Raw genomic sequence first — 19,183 nt, forward strand, 5'->3', positions numbered from 1 at the left:
GTCTGTCAACACAGCTGGACAGATTTTTGTCACAAACCATTGTCTGGTTTCTAGGCCAAACTGACCGTGCCCTAGGCCATTGTATGTTCTCCAAGTCCATTGATTTTCCTCTGAAAATCACTAGCCCTCAAATTTCCATGTTCCTCCTGTCTCCCCTCTCATAAAAAGAAGGGCATATACACATCTGTATCCCATTGGGCTATTGAGTAATCATTGTCCTAAGAATCTCCATGCTGTGCATGTTAATAAATTTGTATGGCTTTTCTGTTATTAGCCTGCCTTCTATGAGTTGATTTTTCAGCAAATCTTCAAAGGGCAAAGAGGAACTTTTCCATTGTCTCCTACAGAAGCATTTAAAATTCTGTAAAACAATGACAAAATCAAAAGCCATGTAAAATCGTGTGTGTTTGTGGTATTTTTAGCAAAATTTTATTTCATATTTATATAATCCAAAATTCTAATATAATAGTTCTAAATCGAATTTTAGGGTCCATGAACTCATCCTTTGCACTTTTGAAGCAGAGGAGGACTGTGACAGAGTTAGAATCTCAGTTTCTCAGTTCCACAGGCTGCTACTCTTCACATGGCAGCTGGATAATGTTCGATTTTCAGTCCTGTGTATTTATAACACATTTCAACCTGCAGAATGCTTGAAATTATCTGCTAGTCACTCTTCTATCTTGACCAACATACAAAATCATTGATGTAGAATTCAGTGTTGCAAAATTTTGAAAAAAATAGTTTTGGTAATAATTTTAAATATCATTGGCATTAGAGTCTGACAGACCAAAATTAACTCCTTGTGTTATAATTCATTAGCTTAAAGGCATGATGATTGTGACAACCTCACTGAGTCTTGACTTCTCCATTTAAAGATAATAACATGAACCTAGGTTGCAAGTTCTTCATGAAGATTAAGTGACATTTTATATATAATATGCAGAAAATAGGTTTGATATGTTGTAAGCATTTGATAAATAACATTTATTATAATAATTTTCAGCAACAATAAGAAAGAAAGTCAAGGTGTTCCTAAGAGACTTAGAGGTTTAGGTCCTACATTGCAAAAGGTTTAGTATCTGCACTGTTCCAACAGAAGGAGCAGACATATAGAACTCAGTTCCCATCCTTGGTTTATTTATTTTGAGTATTCGACAGAAGAAAGGAGTCAATGAAATGAGAAGACCTGTGCGGGCAAACTAACCTTATGTAGAATGTGTCCTCTTATTATAAAATGAGAAGACAACCCCTTTTCACAACTACTACAAAACAATGCCATACCCATCCATTGTTATTACCAGTTATTTCCAACTCTCCCCTGCTATTTCCAGAGTCCACCTTCCTGTGGGGAAAAGCTAACCTAGAATAACTGTATTTCCTACACCTGAGAGGCCACACAAGTATTACATTTTACAAGGAGTAATATTTTTTTTTGCAATTTCTCCCCAATGTACTTTATATCCATCTAGTCCATAGCAGAAATAGTAAAATTTCAAAATTCAATAAACCAAAATAAAAAGGTCTAAAAGCTGGAGCCCTATATAGACAGAATTATAAACGCACATTATTACACCATTAAGAAATTGTTTTATAACATTTAACATTATTGTAACATGCCTGTGTTGCACAAATTCATATATACTATGAATAAAGTCACATACATTAAAACATAGAGTATGTTAAATATGGTATTCAGTTTTGTAAAACCAAATTTGTCTGATGTGATGTTTTTCTGGAAAACACAATAAGAAAGCTTTCCGAGTATAAATGACAATGGGTTTTTACACATATGTCTAGCTCTCAATGTGTAAATGACAATGGGTTTTTACATTCATGTCTCCAAACTGGATTCTGCAAATTGTATTCTAAATGAAAAATATCGCTCTAGTAAACAAATCTCATAAGACAGCAATTTATCTCAAATAAATTTTTGGCCAAATGTTTAGTCTGTAGGAGAGAAAAAGCAATATATTTTCCTCACCCATCACAGAGTTCATAGCTGAAACCCTTGTAACAAAATACAAATTAATAAGAGAAAACATACAACTTTGTTTAATATAAGTTTTACATGACATGGGAACCTTCAGAAATGAAGACCTGAAAACCCAGGGACAACTGTGTGTTTTTATGGACAATCGTGCAGAAGTGTGATTGGAGGACAAACGGGTATGGTCTAATGGCACTAAACTGGGGGGAACTTATGAAGGCCTGTTTGTTCGGATTCTTGCTAGAGTCCCTGTGTGACAGTCCTTCCCTCTGGCTAAACAGCAAGACACTTGTCTCATGAGGGTTTTCAGGAGAGAAGAAGCAGGGAGAGGTCACAGTGACCTTCCTACCTCTGCTGTTTCTCTCAAGTACTAGAGTCCATATTTGGGGATATTTTGAAACTCAATAAGTCTTTGCTGAAATACAGTGTATCTATATTCTTTTATCTTTAACTTTTGTATATTACACACCATTCTACTTTTCTTTTTTTTAATTTTTTTTTTTGAGATGGAGTCTCGCTCTGTCACCCAGGCTGGAGTACAGTGGCGTGGCGAGATCTCAGCTCACTGCAAGCTCTGCCTCCTGGGTTCATGCCATTCTCCAGCCTCAGCCTCCCGAGTACCTGGGACTACAGGTGCCCGCCACCACACCCAGCCAATTTTTTGTATTTTTTTAGTAGAGACGGGGTTTCACTGTGTTAGCCAGGATGGTCTCGATCTCCTGACCTTGTGATCTGTCCGCCTCGGCCTCCCAAAGTGTTGGGATTATAGGCGTGAGCCATCTACTTTTCAAATAAAGTGATATATTTGCTAAAATTGTGTGTAAACTAATTATAGCAAAATTTTTATAAATAAAATTATTTCAAAGATAAATCTTACATCCTACAGTTACACATAAAGAGTAGTGTTGTATCAGATCTACAGTGTCTAACAGCCTTTCTCTCTGTTAATGTTACAAAACATTGATCATTGGTAGCCCATGCTACTGTCATTTTAATACAAGCCCATAAACTTGAATTTTAAATGAATCACCCAAATGATTTTTCAGGTAGTCATCTTCCAGAAAGATTGGCTTGTAGAATTGAAATTTTATTCTACGTTTTCTAACTATCAATAGTTAAAATCTACATCTCAAAAGTGAGCTGTCGAGTCAATGAAGCCCGGGAGTTTGCAGGTTTGGCTTTGAGGCTCCATGTGTTTCACCGTGAATAAGTGTAGACTCACACATTCAAGAAGCATGTTCCACCCTGTATATGAATAATAGTCTTCAACCTGCCAGGCTTGCGGCTTGATAGGCATTATAGCACACTGTATATTGAAGACGTTTATTTTATGTCACTAGAACAATTACTCCAGCGAAAATTTAGTTTGTTATGTACTTTGTATAAAACTCATGTCTTCTCACATGAATTACTGGGAAGCCATACTTTTTAAAAAGTTGTAATAGAATTAAAGAAAGTTAACTCCTAGAATAATAGCAGAATTGGCAATTGATATTCCATCTAGAAATGGCTTTCAAATCTTGAGATGACTCTTAAATTCAAAAGTTTGAGAGTTGAGAAGACACATTATAGGACTTTATAATAACAGAAAAAATTAGCTGTAGGGGTTGTAGGGTAGACTCAGGTTTGTGCACTGCATTCCATCCATGTTATCACAATTAGAGACATCATCTAAAAATTGAGTGAGTTGGTTCTTTTTCCAAGAGTCAGTACAAACTGAAATTCTAAAGAGAATTTTTTAAAAGTTAAACAACTTATGGATGACAAGTTTAAAATGAAATATTCAGGAAAATTAGGGCATTAATTAATTCATTCATCCATTCATAGTATTTATTTGGTAACTATTAGGTTCTGGAAAATGTGCTAAAATATATTAAGAAATAAAACTTTAAAAGTCCATACTTTCATGAAATTTGAGATTATTTGGGGACTAGAGACAAGAAATGTTATCAAAAATGATGTTAGTGGTATGATAAAAAGGGCACAGAATTCTATGAAAGTAAATATTAGAAGATAATTCAAATAGAAGTTTCAGGAAATTATTTTGGGGGTACAAAATAATTAATAGATAACAACCTTAAGTACTGAGGGGAACTGGTTAGATAAAGGAGAAGATGAAAAGAAAAGTGTTTCTCAGGGAAAAGCTGTATGTGAGAGGAGGCTGTGATCAGATAATGGAAAGAAGCTTTGCAGGTCAGGGGCAAGGTTCAAGGTGAGAGAGTTGGCAGAAAGGAGGGAATGCATCAGGCGGGTAGCTTAAAGCATGCCAAGGATTGCAAAATTTAGAGCAATGGGAAACCACCAAGATTTTTATGCTGACATAATTATACTTGCATTTTTGAAATATCAATCTAGTTGTAGAATTGAGTCTGGAATGTAGAGTGAGAACTGGCATGCTGTGACAGAGGTCAGACCTGAGAGAGTGGGCCAGAGACCAGGAAAGGTGCATGATTTCAATAGGGAGAATATGTAGATATTTGTGAGTCATCAGATGAGGTGAGTGAAGAAGATGGAAATGTAACCAATGGCAATTAGGTTTCATACATAAGTGAATGAATACTATTACTTTTTCCTAAACGAGAAAACACTGAAGAGAGAACCTAATGGAGATCAATATAGATTCAGTTTTGGACATGTTCATATTTTCTATGAGATACATAAATAAATCTCACCCATGGGCCACAATGGGATTGACATAAGATGTCAGCAAATATATAAGGAAAGACATGAGATGCATAGAAAACAAACCACAAAATAGTAGACACATATTCTACCTTATCAGTAATTATATTAATGTACATGAATTGAACACTGCAATTTAAAGGCAGACACTAGCAGATAAATTTTTACAAATGATACAACTGTATGCTATCTAAAAGAGACACACTTTGGATTCAGAGATAGGAAGTAAAAGGATAGAAAAAGACAAGCAAACGGTAGCCAAAATAAACCTGAAGTGATTATATTAAAGTCAGACAAAATAGTCCAGAAGGTAAAATTTGTAGCTAAAGATAATGAAGAGAATTTCATGATGATAAAAGAGTCAATCCATCAGGAAGACATAACAATTATAAACACATATACAAGTTCCAAAATACATGAATCAAAACCTGACAGAATTGAAGGGAAAATGTACATTTCAACAGCCGGGTTTTTAATATCCATTTCAGCAATGAGTATGGTGATTAGGGAGAAGATCAAAAAGAAATAGAAGATGTTAACAACATGGTCAACTAACTAGACCTAACAGACATTGATGGAGCACTTTGCTCAACATGAGCAAAATACCGATTCTTCTCAAGGAAGTTCAACGCACATTCTCCAGGACAGGCCATCTGTTGGACTGTAAAACAAGCTTCAATAACTCTAAAGAGACTGAAATAACACAGAATATTATAGGTGCTAAAGGATGTGATGCCTTGCCTCACCCATCACAAGGGTCACGGCCAATACTTCTATAATAAAAGATGAGTTAACAGGAGACAAGCATGACAACTTTGTTTAATCTAAGCTTTACATGATAGGAGCCTTCAAAAATAAAGACCTAAAGACCCAGGGGAAGCTATTTTTATGCTTCCTTTCGATGAAGAATGGACCATTGTGTAGAGATGTGATTGGAAAAAAAGGATAAGATCTAATGCTAATAGACTGAGGGGAGAAATCCAGCAAGGCCTTTCTGGAGTGAAAGCATAAAGAAAACAAACATTGAACATGGATTTTGATCCAGTGGCATTTGATCCAGTGCATTTTTGAGAAGCAATCTTGACAGTGGCTAGGAACAGGAGCTGAATCCCTGTGCTTCAATTGCCTTATCTGTTAAATGGGGATAATAGTAGCCACCTTATATGGATGTCCTAAGAATTAATTGATGTAAAGATTTATAATAGTCTCTCGGCAAACAATACAAATTTAATAAATTGCAGCCAACATAGTTATAATCATATCGATTCTTCAGAGTAACCACCCAGTCTTTGCATTCTCATCCACACGTTGCCAGAGGAGAGCACAAAAGCATACAAAGACTCGCCTGAAGCCTTGCAGCCACACCACACAGCACCGAGACCTCATCAATCCCCCTCACTTTCTGCTAAATCACCTGCCCCACACGTGATTAATGTGCCCCGACCTCTCATGTCTCATTTTGTAGTCCTGATTTATGTCTTTCTGTTGTGTTGTGAGTAATATGTTTACAGAGGGGGAGAAAATTATAATATTGAAGAAAGGGAAACAAAAGTGAGGCAGTCAGGTATGTGAAAGTTATAGTAAGATTTTTATGTCAATGCAGCTCAACATTTCTGCTATATTCTGTTTTGTAGGCAGAACAAAATCTCTCTTAGTTAGAGGCTGAAATCCAAGGGACTTCGATTTATTCCAATTTTCAAGTAGAAGATTTTATTTTACTCAGGTAAACATAGACTGTGCTGTTACATAAATAAATAAATAAATAAATAAATAAATAAAGCAAGCAGAAGGTGCGGCATAGATTTAAAAAACTATACTTGGGGAAAATAAAATTAAATAAAATCATCGTCAAAAGTTCTTGTGCACTTTGAAATTCAGATTGCATCGTGAGCTTGGATTGCCAATATCCTTCACGCTGTTGCTTGCCAGACTGATAGCTCTTTCCATTCATTACAGATAGAAAGTGACTATGAAGCTTTACAAAGTTACGGGCAGGTGCAAAGCTGTTGATCCCAGCCTAGAAGATACATTTTATATGCCTGTGAAGATTGTTCAAAAAACCCCAACTGTAACACCAAGTTGTTAGAATAGTTTAAGAAAGATTAAGCCAGAGAAGGGAGCTTCATTTTTTGTGCTGACAACACTTACGGGGTTTTAGTTGAACCCAGCCAAGAGGATAAATTGCAAAGTAATTAAGAGGAAGTCTAAATCCAGATTTGTTCAGTTTGTTTCTTAGGATCGTTAATATTAACTGACTTTCACATTCAGATTCACTTAACTTGGCAAATGCCATGAAAACGAAATCACATAAGATTTTGCAGCCTAACATTCTTTCCGAAATGGGAAAAGCTACTCAGCCTAAGAAATATTTCATTTGATTTTGAGGTGTTTCACAGACTATGAAAAATTTAATTTCACAAACAAGTGCCAAACATTTTGTTTGTCTTTGAAAAATAATCATTTCAAGAAGAAATCAATGACTTTCAGAAATAAAACCAGTAGCCATAACAACTCCTCCAGGCATTTTCCCTGAAATGAGTGGGTAGTGACTATTTTAAAGGACATTTTCATTGACTTTGCTGTATTATCTGACACTTTAAGAAATGTCAGAGGGTATTGTTTCAGGGACTCTTATTTAAATTCAGGTTAACGTTATACGCCTGCTTCTCAGGCTCCATCCAGCTTCCTTTGTGACTCAGTTCAATAACAAATAATGATGAACCATTGAACCACAGACATGGATAAAGACAATCCCATGTTTCCATTACAGACCCAATTCAATGGTTTCCCATGTTCTTTAATTGTATGGATTAGAATGCACAGAAAAATGGTATATTAGACATTAGAGATTTCCTCTCACTTTCCCCACAAAATTTTGACATGATTCTCCCAGAAAAAAATGCAAAGTAGAAATGGAGATTCCCGTGATTGACAGTGATGTTGGAGCAAAGCACATTTCCAGCATCTGCTTGCGTGACCCTGGTAAAGCATGGGCATGTGCGGTTCAGGCTCAGAGAGGCGTGGAGTTTAGAAAAAACAGCTTAATAGCAAAACATTCACTCTTTGTTTCATGGATGGAAAGATTAAAACGTATCAATTACATTGTTCACAACAATTTAAAAAATCCAGCTTTCTTTTCCAAGCATTTCTCTCACATCATCAGTTATAGTCCCAGACTGCGAAGTCTAGGGTTATTCAGGTCAAATTATCTAACATTTGCAGGTGCCAATGATGAGCTAGCCATTTTGCATGATAAGTAATCTGCACCCCAATTATCATAACATCCTCCCTTCTTACAGATGGCTTAGCCAAGGAGGAGAAATGTAACTTGCGCAGATTCACATAGCTGAATCTATGTGAAATCAAAATGTTTGATTTCAAAACTTACACTTTAATATCACACTATGCTGACTCTCATTATTCTTAAAGCTGAATTTTGTAATTGAGGAAGAGTTGATTTCAAAATGTCTCAAATCCTCAGCTCAAATTCATGGGCAGTTTTCATTCACTTCTACACAGCATACATGTGTAATATATGTTATATATAATATAGATTTTATTATGTAAATATAGTTTAAATTATACATTTTTAAAATAAAAATATGAATTTTCTTTTTCATTATTTCAAGGTTTTACATGTGCTTAGTTTTAAAAATGAGTTAGCTTCTTTTATCTTTAACTTTTGTTTGTTTTCCAAATGTCTAGTTGAGTCATTCCATTTGAGATGGTAATTTTTAACTTTCCTTGCTTACTTCTAGAGTAACAAACCTTTATCCTTAAACCTCTGGATTTGGCATTATTTTTCCATCTATACTGAATCTTTATTGTATAGGAGCCAGGATAAAAATAAGAATAAGAGGAAAATATTGAACAGCAGAATGAGAAATGTATGTTTGATGCCATCAATTCTTCAAATTTTTCAATATTATTTTAGAGAGAAACATGGAATTATTTGCTGTAAAATGTTACCCTAAAACAACAATAGAAAGTGAAAAATCTAAATATCACAATTTTCAACTGCTGAAATAAAAGAAAATATTTAAAAAATTGAGTCAAATGTTTAAAACAAATTAGTTTTTGAATGGTCTTAAATTTTAGGAAAGATAAATAATTCATTAAAGTTCAAAGAATTTACTTTCTCCATTACCTTAGGTCTATGCAACATATTAGTTTACTTTTGAATGAGGAAATAATTCACAAAAGGTTGATCTTTACTTTTAGAAGAAATAATTTAATATACTATAAGAATGATCAAAAGTTTTTATTATGAATGAAAGGCAAAATGCTTGTGTAAACATTTATATCTTATAAGTAAGTTTTCTGTTAGTATGCTGTGTTCTGACATCAATTTGCTGACACTAACTGGGTGTCCCGTAATCCAGTTTAATTCTGACAGTTATTGCCTGGAGTTAGCACAGACCCACATATTAAGAGCAAAGTCGTTCACAGGACTGTTTCCACTTCAGACACCAGCCACAGCTTTGGGTATCCCTAAGCTACCACACTTCTGCCCAGCCAGCTACAAATTCAGGGCTTCCCACAATCTCTTTAGATTGAATAATTTGCTAGAATGGCTCACAGTATTCAGGAAAGTGCTACTTAGAATTATCATTTCATTATAAAATTTGCTCAAATGGCTCACAGTACTCAGGAAAGTGCTGCTTAGAATTATCATTTCATTATAAAGAATATACATAAACTGCCACATGAAGAAGTAATAGGGCAAGCTCTAGGAGAGTCCTGAGCCCAGGAGCTTTCGTCCCTGGGAAGTCGTGGCATGCCAGCATCCTGGTTCACTTACAGGTTCACCAGTCAGGAAGGTCCTTTGAGCCTCAATGGCCCGAGCTTTTATTGAGGTTTCATCACCTAGGATGATTGAGTAAATCACTGGTCAGGTGATTAAATTCAACCTTCAGCACCCATGCTTTCCCCAGAGGTCAGGCTGGTCCAGAGTTCCAATTCTCGAAACACAAGTTTGGCCTTTCTGGGTATCAATCCCAATCCTGAAGCCACCTAGGCACCCTCCATCCCCACCAGGAGCTGCCTCATTAACATAACAGAAATTTTCCCATCACGCTGGAAATTCCAAGGGTTTTTGCAGCTCTGTACCAGAAACATGGGACCATGGGATGAAGACCAGATCTATTTTATATTGTATTATAGATGTCCTCTGTGTGTTTATCTAGGCTCATAATTGATATGGAGCTTTAAATAGTTTTTTCTGTCATATACATTTCGATGTTCTTCCACTTTGTTGTTTTAAAATTACTTTCCAAGATAGTGAATTCCTTGCATAAGGTTCATATTTTCTAAATGCACACAAATTCTTTTGCACTGGTAGCTTAAAATTGTTTAGTAATGGTAAAGATGGTTTGAGACTGAGATAATCACCCAGAGAAAGATATATTTTTTCCTTAAAAATTAGGCAAAGCTACATAGCATTAAGATCTTTTACTAGCAGAGTACATTTTCAGATGCCCCTACATTACATAAATTAGTGCAAGACCAATCCAGAAAAAAAGAAGTAGCCGATAGAATTATAGTGTGGAAGTCAGGCAGTCTTTACTTTATACTGACGTATCTTTTAACAATTAAGACTAAGAGAAAGAATGTTTTTCAATTTGTGTATCACCTCTTAGAAAGCTGAACAAGTCTGATATGACATAGGCTAGCTAGGCCAATTAGGGATAAATTAGAGAAGAACACAGACCCAATACAGGTGGTTCAGACTAATCCATTCGTCTTTCATTCGTTTAAACATTTTTATTGAGTGCCTGTCATTCTAGAATGACAGCAGTTACAATTCTAGGCATCAAGAGTGTAGTCCTTAAGATAGAAACAAATTCCCTGACGTTGGCCAGGTGCGGTGGCTCACGCCTGTAATCCCAGCACTTTGGGAGGCTGAGGCAGGCGGATCATGAGGTCAGGAGATCGAGACCATCCTGGGTAACACAGTGAAACCCCGTCTCTACTAAAAAACACAAAAAATTAGCCGGGCGTGGTGGTGGGCATCTGTAGTCCCAGCTACTCGGGAGCCTGAGGCAGGAGAATGGCGTGAACCCGGGAGGCGGAGCTTGCAGTGAGCCGGGATCGCGCCCCTGCACTACAGTCTAGGTGACAGAGTGACACTCCCTCTCAAAAAAAAAAAAAAAAAAAAAAATTCCCTGACCTTATGAAATCTACATTCTTCTCTAGGAGTCAGAGAGAAGCAAAGAATGTGAAATACAATGTCAGGTAGTAATAAATGTTATGAAGAAAAGTAAAGAAAATAAAGGGATAAAGAATGATAGAGTGAGATGGTAATTTAGAAAGGGTGGCTAATGAGGACTTGTCTGAATGGGTAACGTTTGCCAGAGACCTGAATGAGATGAAAGAATAAACCATACAAATATCTAACAGAAAAACATCCGAGGCGAAAGAACAGCAAGTGCCAAGTTCTTACGGAGGAAATGAGGTTGGAACGTTTAAGGGATAACAAACCTGTGACTAAAATATGGCAAGTACAGTAGAGAACAATACAAGATGTGGTTTGAGAAATGGCTGGGTACCAGTTGATAGAAGGTCTGTATAGACCAAAATAAACCTGAAAAAAGGAAAAGAAAATTAGAAAAGAACAAAGGCCTTGATTATAATTACCTAAAATTGATTCATTTTAACATCAATTTCACACAATTTTAATAAGTAGTATGTTCCAAAGAAAGAAATACGTATGGTCAAACAGATTTAGAAAATGCTGGGTTAAAACCATTAAGCCTTTTTTTTTTTTATTGTAAAGATTTTTTAGAACATTTCATCATTTGATTTGTGTTCAATCTAATACAGAGATTGTAATCAGAATTTTTCAAATTTATTGTCCTGAATAACTTTTTCTTCTAGTAGATTATCTCCCAGGATTAGGGTTCCACTGAATTCCTTTAGGAATCATTATTAGTTGTCAAACACTGTAAAAAGATCTGAGTGGCAAGAGGTGTGTATTTAACACCAAAACTAGAAATGTAGTTTAGATTTTATGTTATTTATCACTTGCCAAGAGAACATACAGAGAGAAAAGCATTGAAAAAAAAAATAGATTACATGGAGTGAAGTTTTATAAGGAGATACAGCCTTTAGAGGAACTAACTTTCCAAGTTAAAAAAAAAAAGGTATTTAGTTCTTAAAATATTCCTTCTGCCTTGTTTTCCTTTCTCCTTTTTTTTTTTTTTTTTTTTTTTTTTGAGATGGAGTCTTACTCTGTTGCCCACGCTGGAGTGCACTGGCATGCTCTCGGCTCACTGCTCCACAGGTTCAAGCAATTCTTCTGCCTCAGTCTCCCGAACAGCTGGGATTACAGGCCCGCACCACCATGCTTGGCTAATTTTGTTGTATTTTTAGTAGAGACAAGGTTTCACCATATTGGCCAGGCTGGCCTTGAATTCCTGACCTCAGGTGATCCACCTGCCTCAGCCTCCCAAAGTGCTAGGATTACAGGCGTGAGCCACTGTGCCTGGCTCCCTTCTCCTTCTGAGCTTTTGATTATACATATGTTAGACTGTGTTGTCTCACAGATCATGGGTACTCTGTTTTTGTTTGCTTGTTTGTTTGTTTCCATGTTTTCTATTTGCATTTCATTTTGGGTAATTTTTACAGACTTTTCAACTTTACTAATTCTTTCTTCAGCTGTTTGGAGTCTACTAATAATCACTTCAGGGCAATCTTCATCTCTATTAGGTTTTTCTTTTCTAGTATTTCCATCCAATTGTTTTTTAAATCTTCATCCCTCTGCTGAAATGACCTTTCTGGTCTTGCATGCTGTCTGCTTTTTCCATTACAGCCTTTAACATGTTAATCAAGGTTAATAAATTTCCAAGGTTTGTGCATAGCTAAGCCTGCTTGGCTCCCTGGGAGAGTGTTGTTTTCTTCTTGTTATTTTGTGTGTGTCTTAAGTTTTGTGGGGAAAGTTGGGCATCTTCTTTAAAACTGTAAACATGAAGTTTTTTTTCCTGCTTAGAAATGAGCATGCCTTTCCTTCTTGTAGGTCTTTAGTGTGGAGAGTTGAATTATTAATCTAATTAGGAGTTGAACTGGGCTTAGGTTTGCTGTGCTACGGTCACCTCTAGGTACCACAGGTTTAAACTTCCTCTGGAGATATATTGGGTTTAGGGTTGTGGCTGCTTTGCCAGGGGCCAGGGGATTTTTTTTATGTCTCTTCCTTTTGCTTTTGGTCTTCCCTGTGACCTATGCACCTATGCCTCAGAGAGGGTCTTTTTCTTTTCTTTTCTTTTTCTTTCTTTCTTTTTTTTTTTTTTTTTTTTTGAGACAGGGTTTCACTTTGTGCTCTGTGGCCCAGGCTTCAGTGTGCAGTGGCATGATCTCAACTTCTGCCTCCCAGGTTCAAATGATCTTCCCACCTCAGCATCCTGAGTAGCTGGGACCATAGGCACATGCCACCATGCTCAGCTAATTTTTAATTTTTTTTTTTTAGAGATGAGGTCTCACTATGCTGCCAAGGCTGGTCTCAAACTCCTGGGCTCAAGTGGGCTTCCTCCCTTGGCTTCCCAAAGCACTGGCATTACAGGCATGAGCCACTGGGCCTGGCTTGTCTCCTTCTTGTAAGTTACATATTGCTAGAGACTTGCTCATTGGCAGTGTGCATGTGTGGATGGGTGTAACTTCTGTTGTTCTGGATAGGCCTCAGTCCTAGGCAGGCAGTGAACCCCTGGGTGTCGGTGGGGGGTAGCCTTCTCAGTGCCCTACTTTTCCTCTAGCTGCTGTAGGCCTGGGTTCCATGTGAATCCTGCACCACCACTCCCCATTTCACCACATATACACAGATAAAAACTTTGGTTTCACAAGAGACATGGGGGAAGGATCCTGGTGAAATTCCTTGCTTCTCCTACAGTGGTTAAAGTTTTCTTTCCCCAGTCTATACTACAAAACAAACTTTCTCAAGATTCTTTAATTTTCATCTGATTCAGGTAGAAAAATTCTGCAAGAGGATATGGACTTCCCCTATATACGTGGCCCTTAGTGCTTTACTCTGCCTCAGCAAGGCACACTCAGTCCCCATCAATCAACCAGTCACCTGTGCTGAGCTCTTCGCACTGGTCTCAATCTGCCCAGGTAAAACAGTGCTGGCATTTCATCTCCCCCTGGAGGCTCCTCTCTCCTCAGATTTCAGGACCGTTGGTTGTCCTGCTCAGCTTTCTGGTGGGTTCCAGAAAAGTTGTTAACTCACCGTTTATTTGGGGTTTTGCTGTTGTTGTAAGGCTAGAAGTGACACTCATTTCTTCTGTCTTCGTGGAAAACACTCAACAGGTAAGAAAAAAAGAAGCAACATCAACAAGCTTACTGAGGCTATCACTAGTTTAGTCACGGTAGCAAAACAATAGATTTCTTATATAATTATCACATCTGAAAGTGATAATATAATCACTATTGCAAAGATCAGGAATAAAGTCATTTTCTTATGGAGTCAGCAGATTATAGGAATGGTGGCTCAAGCCTCCATTGAGCTTGTGGACTAGAACGACAGTGACCACTCTTTGGTTGTTTGCTTATCGTAGGGAGCACAACAGGCTTCCCTGTGCTGGCTGCGGACATGACGACGCGCTGGGAACGACAGCAGTGGGAGGTGTCATGTTTGCTTTTACACACTTCTTGCCTCTATAAAAGCCTGAACTTAAAATTTAATTTTTTTAGTAAATAGCTCTCAGTGTATTACAAAGTGTACATTCAGTTATCCACAACTAATTATTTCTTTCTGTTTCTAATGTGCCAAGAACTAGTGCATGCTAAATATAAGGGAAGATACCTGATTCCTCACCAAAAATCTTGGTACATAAAATTGGGAAGAAAGTAAGCAGCATCAATCTGTTTATAAAATCTCTTTGTCTCAGCTTTTTCACCTGTGAGATAGACCATCCCATATTATTCATTAATGATATTTTTTTGTGACCAGCAGACTTCTCAGTGGTCAGATACATGTACCTCGATCCTTAAAGGTAGCAACCATCACTCATAGTGACCAGATTTGCAGAGGCAGCCTCTCCCTTCTGTCCCACAGAAGTCTACAGGGTATCCTGGGGTCCTCATTGCCCGCCTCTATGAAAATCCCACGTCCTAAATGGATTGTGTGTAATTTCTTTCTCATCCAGACCCATTCTTCCTTCCTGGTGCCTTCCCTGCCCCATCTTCTCTTTCGTCCCTGGCCCAGATCTCTACCTTGTCTGACGGGCCGTGGCCCTTGCTTCCTCTACTACATTGTGACACTTGATTATATCTTGTCTTATATCTTTCTCCAAAGATTTCATGGATCATGTCTTTCCAAAATTACTAGACTCCCTAAGGGGTGAAGCATGTCAGTCTTATTTTGCATCCTCACGCTCCCTTGCACACTGTCAGACACAGAGCAGGCATGTGACAAATGCTAGGTTGCAACAAGTCTGAGTTTCTTAATGGAAGAAATTTAGAGAGAGAAAGCGGGGGTGCTTTGGTGAGAGATATCAACTCATTGAGTATAATGAGGAAGGAACCGGCCAACCGCCGTCAATTAAGAAGTGGAGCAAATGGGCTAAAATCGCTGTAACGTGCTCCACCTGAGCTTTCTGCCGTCCAGGGCCGCTCTGTTTCACTGGGGTGGAGGCTGCCACTGCTGGCAGCTGAAGCTGAGCGCCAGGGTCTCTTCCTCTCCTCCTCGTCCTTTCGGATCCCGGGCCCTGCGGCCGCGCTTCCGCTTCAGACCCCGCATCAGGACCCGGGACACGGGGACTTCTTCCGGGCTGCAGGCGCTGGGCAGGCGCGGCGCCCCCGCGTGGTTCCTTCGCAGGGGACAGCAGGTTTCCCGCCCCGCCGCGTGGGGGCGCGCGATCTGCCGTCTGAGTTCAATGCGACTCCGGAAGGACGCAAGGGAGCCGCGCAGGTGGCCAGCTCCTTAGGCGTGTCCGTCCCAGAGCACCCTGGCTTTATCTGGTTTATTGCTCATGGTTCAATCGGGAAATTAGGCAGCGTGTCCCCATGACAGCAGACGCGGGTGACGGCTCTTGCCTCCCTCCCCAGTGCGCACCCCCGCTGGAGCGCAGGAGCTTCCTGCAGGTTCGCGCCAGCTCGGGCCTGACACTCAGGGCAAAGCGGCTCCAAACTGCCCACTGAGCGGTCCGCACACACAGTCCTTGCCCTGCAGGCTTTTCCTGGACGACTGCTGAAGTTCTAGTCGATTCCACAGCCAAAAACATGGAACACCTTGAGCAAAAACCATTATCCAACATTAGCCGTTTTGTTTTTTTTTTTTTTTTTTTGGTCAATGAACTTTTGTTACATGAAGAACAGAACAAAGCTGGATCTACCATATACCTGGTTTGAATTTACTGGCCAGAACATTAGCAATTAGGTTTTGACCAATAATATCAAGTCTTTTCAGAATATCTCTGGGGAAGAAAAAACTAAAACAAAATGACAGCAAACAAACTTCCCATAGCGGCCAGATTCTAAGTCTAGTGCTTTTAATTGAAAGAGGAGAAATTTGGCCAACTAAAACTACATCATATTCGTATGCGATGAAAAGAAGAAAATAAACATTTCTGGTCAGAAATGTAGATATGATTAATTTTAAATGGAATCTTAATTAAAATATGACAACTTGAATTTTCAAAAAAATGTCCTTGGCCGGGCGTGGTGGCTCACACCTGTAATCCCAGCACTTTGGGAGGCCGAGGTGGGCGGATCACCTGAGGTCAGGAGTTGGAGACCAGCCGGACCAACAAGGAGAAAGAAACCCCGTCTCTACTAAAAAGACAAAATTAGCCGGGCATAGTGGTGCATGCCTATAATCCCAACTACTCGGGAGGCTGAGGCAAGAGAATTGCTTGAACCCGGGAGGCTGCCGTGAGCCAGGATCGCACCATTGCACTCCAGGGTGGGCAACAAGAGCAAAACTCCGTCTAAAAAAAAAAAAGTCCTTTTGTTATGCTATTTTAAATAAAACTTTAAACACTTATTAAAAGTATGGTATACATTTAAAGATAGCTTTTCCTCGAAGAAAATGTCAGCAAGGAAAATCCTTGAATTCTGTAACATATGGTGTTTTTGAGTAGCTATATTCATCATATAAAAGCAATTTATATTTTCATTAAAGAAATTCAAATTTTACTTATTTGACACTAATACCTACACACAGGAAATTTCAAACCCAAGAAATAATAAATTATCGTTATTCTAGAAAACCTGGTACCACCTTGCTCTACCACAGCCATTGCTGTGGTTTTCATCTTTAGATGTCTTGGGTGCTGAGAGCTGGCCCTGCATCCCAGGCACATTCAGATTCTCTGGCAATCAACTTTTGTGGGAGAAGGGAAGAAAATACGATGGGGTAGAGAGAGAAGTTGGACACTGACGCAATCAACATCAAGCCTCAGCCAACCCCCAAGGCAGTCTGAAACTGGACAGGCTCTTCACAGTTGCCCAGGGAGGCCAAACAGAGAGAGTCTTTATACCCTGGCAAATGCTAGTCATGGGGAGACAGATGCCAGAGGGAGGGGGCCTGGACTTCAGCAAGTGGCTTTCTTCAGCCTGAGGTAATTCGCCAAACGTCTGGGGAACTGCAGCTGACAGCTGCGTGTCTCTCCCAGCAGTCAGGGAGTCAGTCTTTCAACCTGCAATCGGAGCATGCAGCCATTTGGGGACTTTCAGTTTGCAGAGTAAGGAGAGCTTTGGTCTGGGGCGGAAACTTTGCTTTTCTTTTTGTTGTTTTTCTGCTTTTTTTTCTACTGGGGAGAACTGTATTCTTAGGCTCTGCTTCTTCCGTGGGTCCCACTGTCTTCAGGAGAGGCCTTCTTGGACAAGCAGCCTCCTTTCCTTAGAGAGCAGGTCATGGGATTTCCAAGGTCACAAGTAATGTCTACCAGACATTCCGTTTACATACAGAGAAGGGAGACAACTGTCTCAAAAAGTCTCTTTATTAAATCATCCCCTGGTCATCCTATGTCATAGCCCTATATTTTTCCTTTTATGGATTTACTCCAGAGTGGGAGGAAACCCACATTTTTCTCTGCTGTCTTGGGCTATGGCTTCACCTTTTGTTTAAAAATCAATCTCATCTCATCTGCTATTTTCCAAGAACTTTTCAAGAATCTAGTCTATTCATAACACCCTTTCTGGTTTTTCTGTGCTGTGATGACTTTCCTTCTTAAACCTACATTTATTTTATTCCATTTTGCTCTTGAGCAGGAAGTCTGTGTATTAAGTTCTGGCCTTGATTGCAAATGCCAAGTCAGCTCAGTAGAATGGAATGGGTATGGGTTGTGGCTTCAGGCAGACACTTCACTCGGGTCTACCACTTACTATGCAACTTAGGGTCAATCACATACCTTTTGTGAGACCCAGGGTCTTTTTAAAGTGGGAATAGCTGGTGCGGTGGCTCATAGCTGTAATCCCAGTACTTTGGGAGGCTGAGGTGGGCAGATTACTTGAGGTCAGGAGTTCAAGACCAGCCTGGCCAACATGCTGAAACCCCATCTCTACTAAAAATACAAAAATTAGCCGGGCATGGCGGCGGGCACCTGTAATCCCAGCTACTCGGGAGGCTAGGGCAGGAGAATGGCTTGAACCCGGGAGGTGGAGGTTGCAGTGAGCTGAGATCACGCCACTGCACTCCAGACTGGGCAATAAGGCGAGACTCAGTCTCAAAAATAAATAAATAATAAAATAAAGTTGGAATAATAGTATGTACTGCATAAATTAGACATAAGGATATAAAAGTGCTTAGCATAATGTTTGGTATAGAACCTGCACACAAGCAATGGTTGTCCTCTCCTTTCTTTGTATTTGTATCCCTCATAACATTTTTTGTTTTTTGTTTTTTGTTTTGTTTTGTTTTTTGAAATGGAGTCTTGCTCTTGTCGCCGAGGCTGGAGTGCGATAGACGATCTCTGCTCACTGCAACCTCTGCCTCCTGGGTTCAAGCCATTCTCCTGCCTTAGCCTCCTCAGTAGGTGGGATTACAGGCTCCCGCCACAACGCCTGGCTAATTTTTGTATTTTTAGTAGAGATGGGGTTTCACCGTGTTGGCCAGGCTGGTCCCAAACTCCTGATCTTGTGATCCACCCGTCTCGGCCTCCCAAAGTGCTGGGATTGCAGGTGTGAGCCACCATGCCCGGCCTGTATCCCTCATAACATTAATGTGCCTTGTGTTCTCATGAAAAAGAAAAACTTTAATACAATCCAAAATCCATCAGAAAACGAGACAAACAACCTTAAAGATTCAGCGAGGCTTGGTTTGTTTCTAAAGTGATCGCTTAGGCAATAGTGCCTATAATATCGTCACCACCAAGTACTGCCTTGAGGTGTCACAGAATGTCATACGTGACAGTGATAGCATTCTACATTACACCCTCTTGCTTAACATATTTGTTTTTAACAATTTTTTTATTTCTTTGTAAACTTGACTGGTTAAAATAAACTAGTATTACCTAGAAGTAGGAGGTCAATCAAAGACTAATCTACAGATATATGAAATTCAGCTGGAGTCATTTATATGTAATA

The 19,183-nt window shown here is 39.1% G+C and overlaps 1 annotated feature.

Moving 5' to 3' along the window:
* Nucleotides 14,958-15,458: an enhancer, noted in NCBI's record as "H3K27ac-H3K4me1 hESC enhancer chr4:189579916-189580416 (GRCh37/hg19 assembly coordinates)". NCBI's record gives its function as "activates a minimal SCP1, AML or CMV promoter by ChIP-STARR-seq in naive H9 embryonic stem cells {active_cell/tissue: H9 hESC(naive)}" and the evidence as "EXISTENCE:reporter gene assay evidence [ECO:0000049][PMID:30033119]".

Source organism: Homo sapiens, chromosome 4 (genome assembly GCF_000001405.40).
Source record: "Homo sapiens chromosome 4, GRCh38.p14 Primary Assembly".
In the NCBI taxonomy this organism is placed as follows: domain Eukaryota; kingdom Metazoa; phylum Chordata; class Mammalia; order Primates; family Hominidae; genus Homo; species Homo sapiens.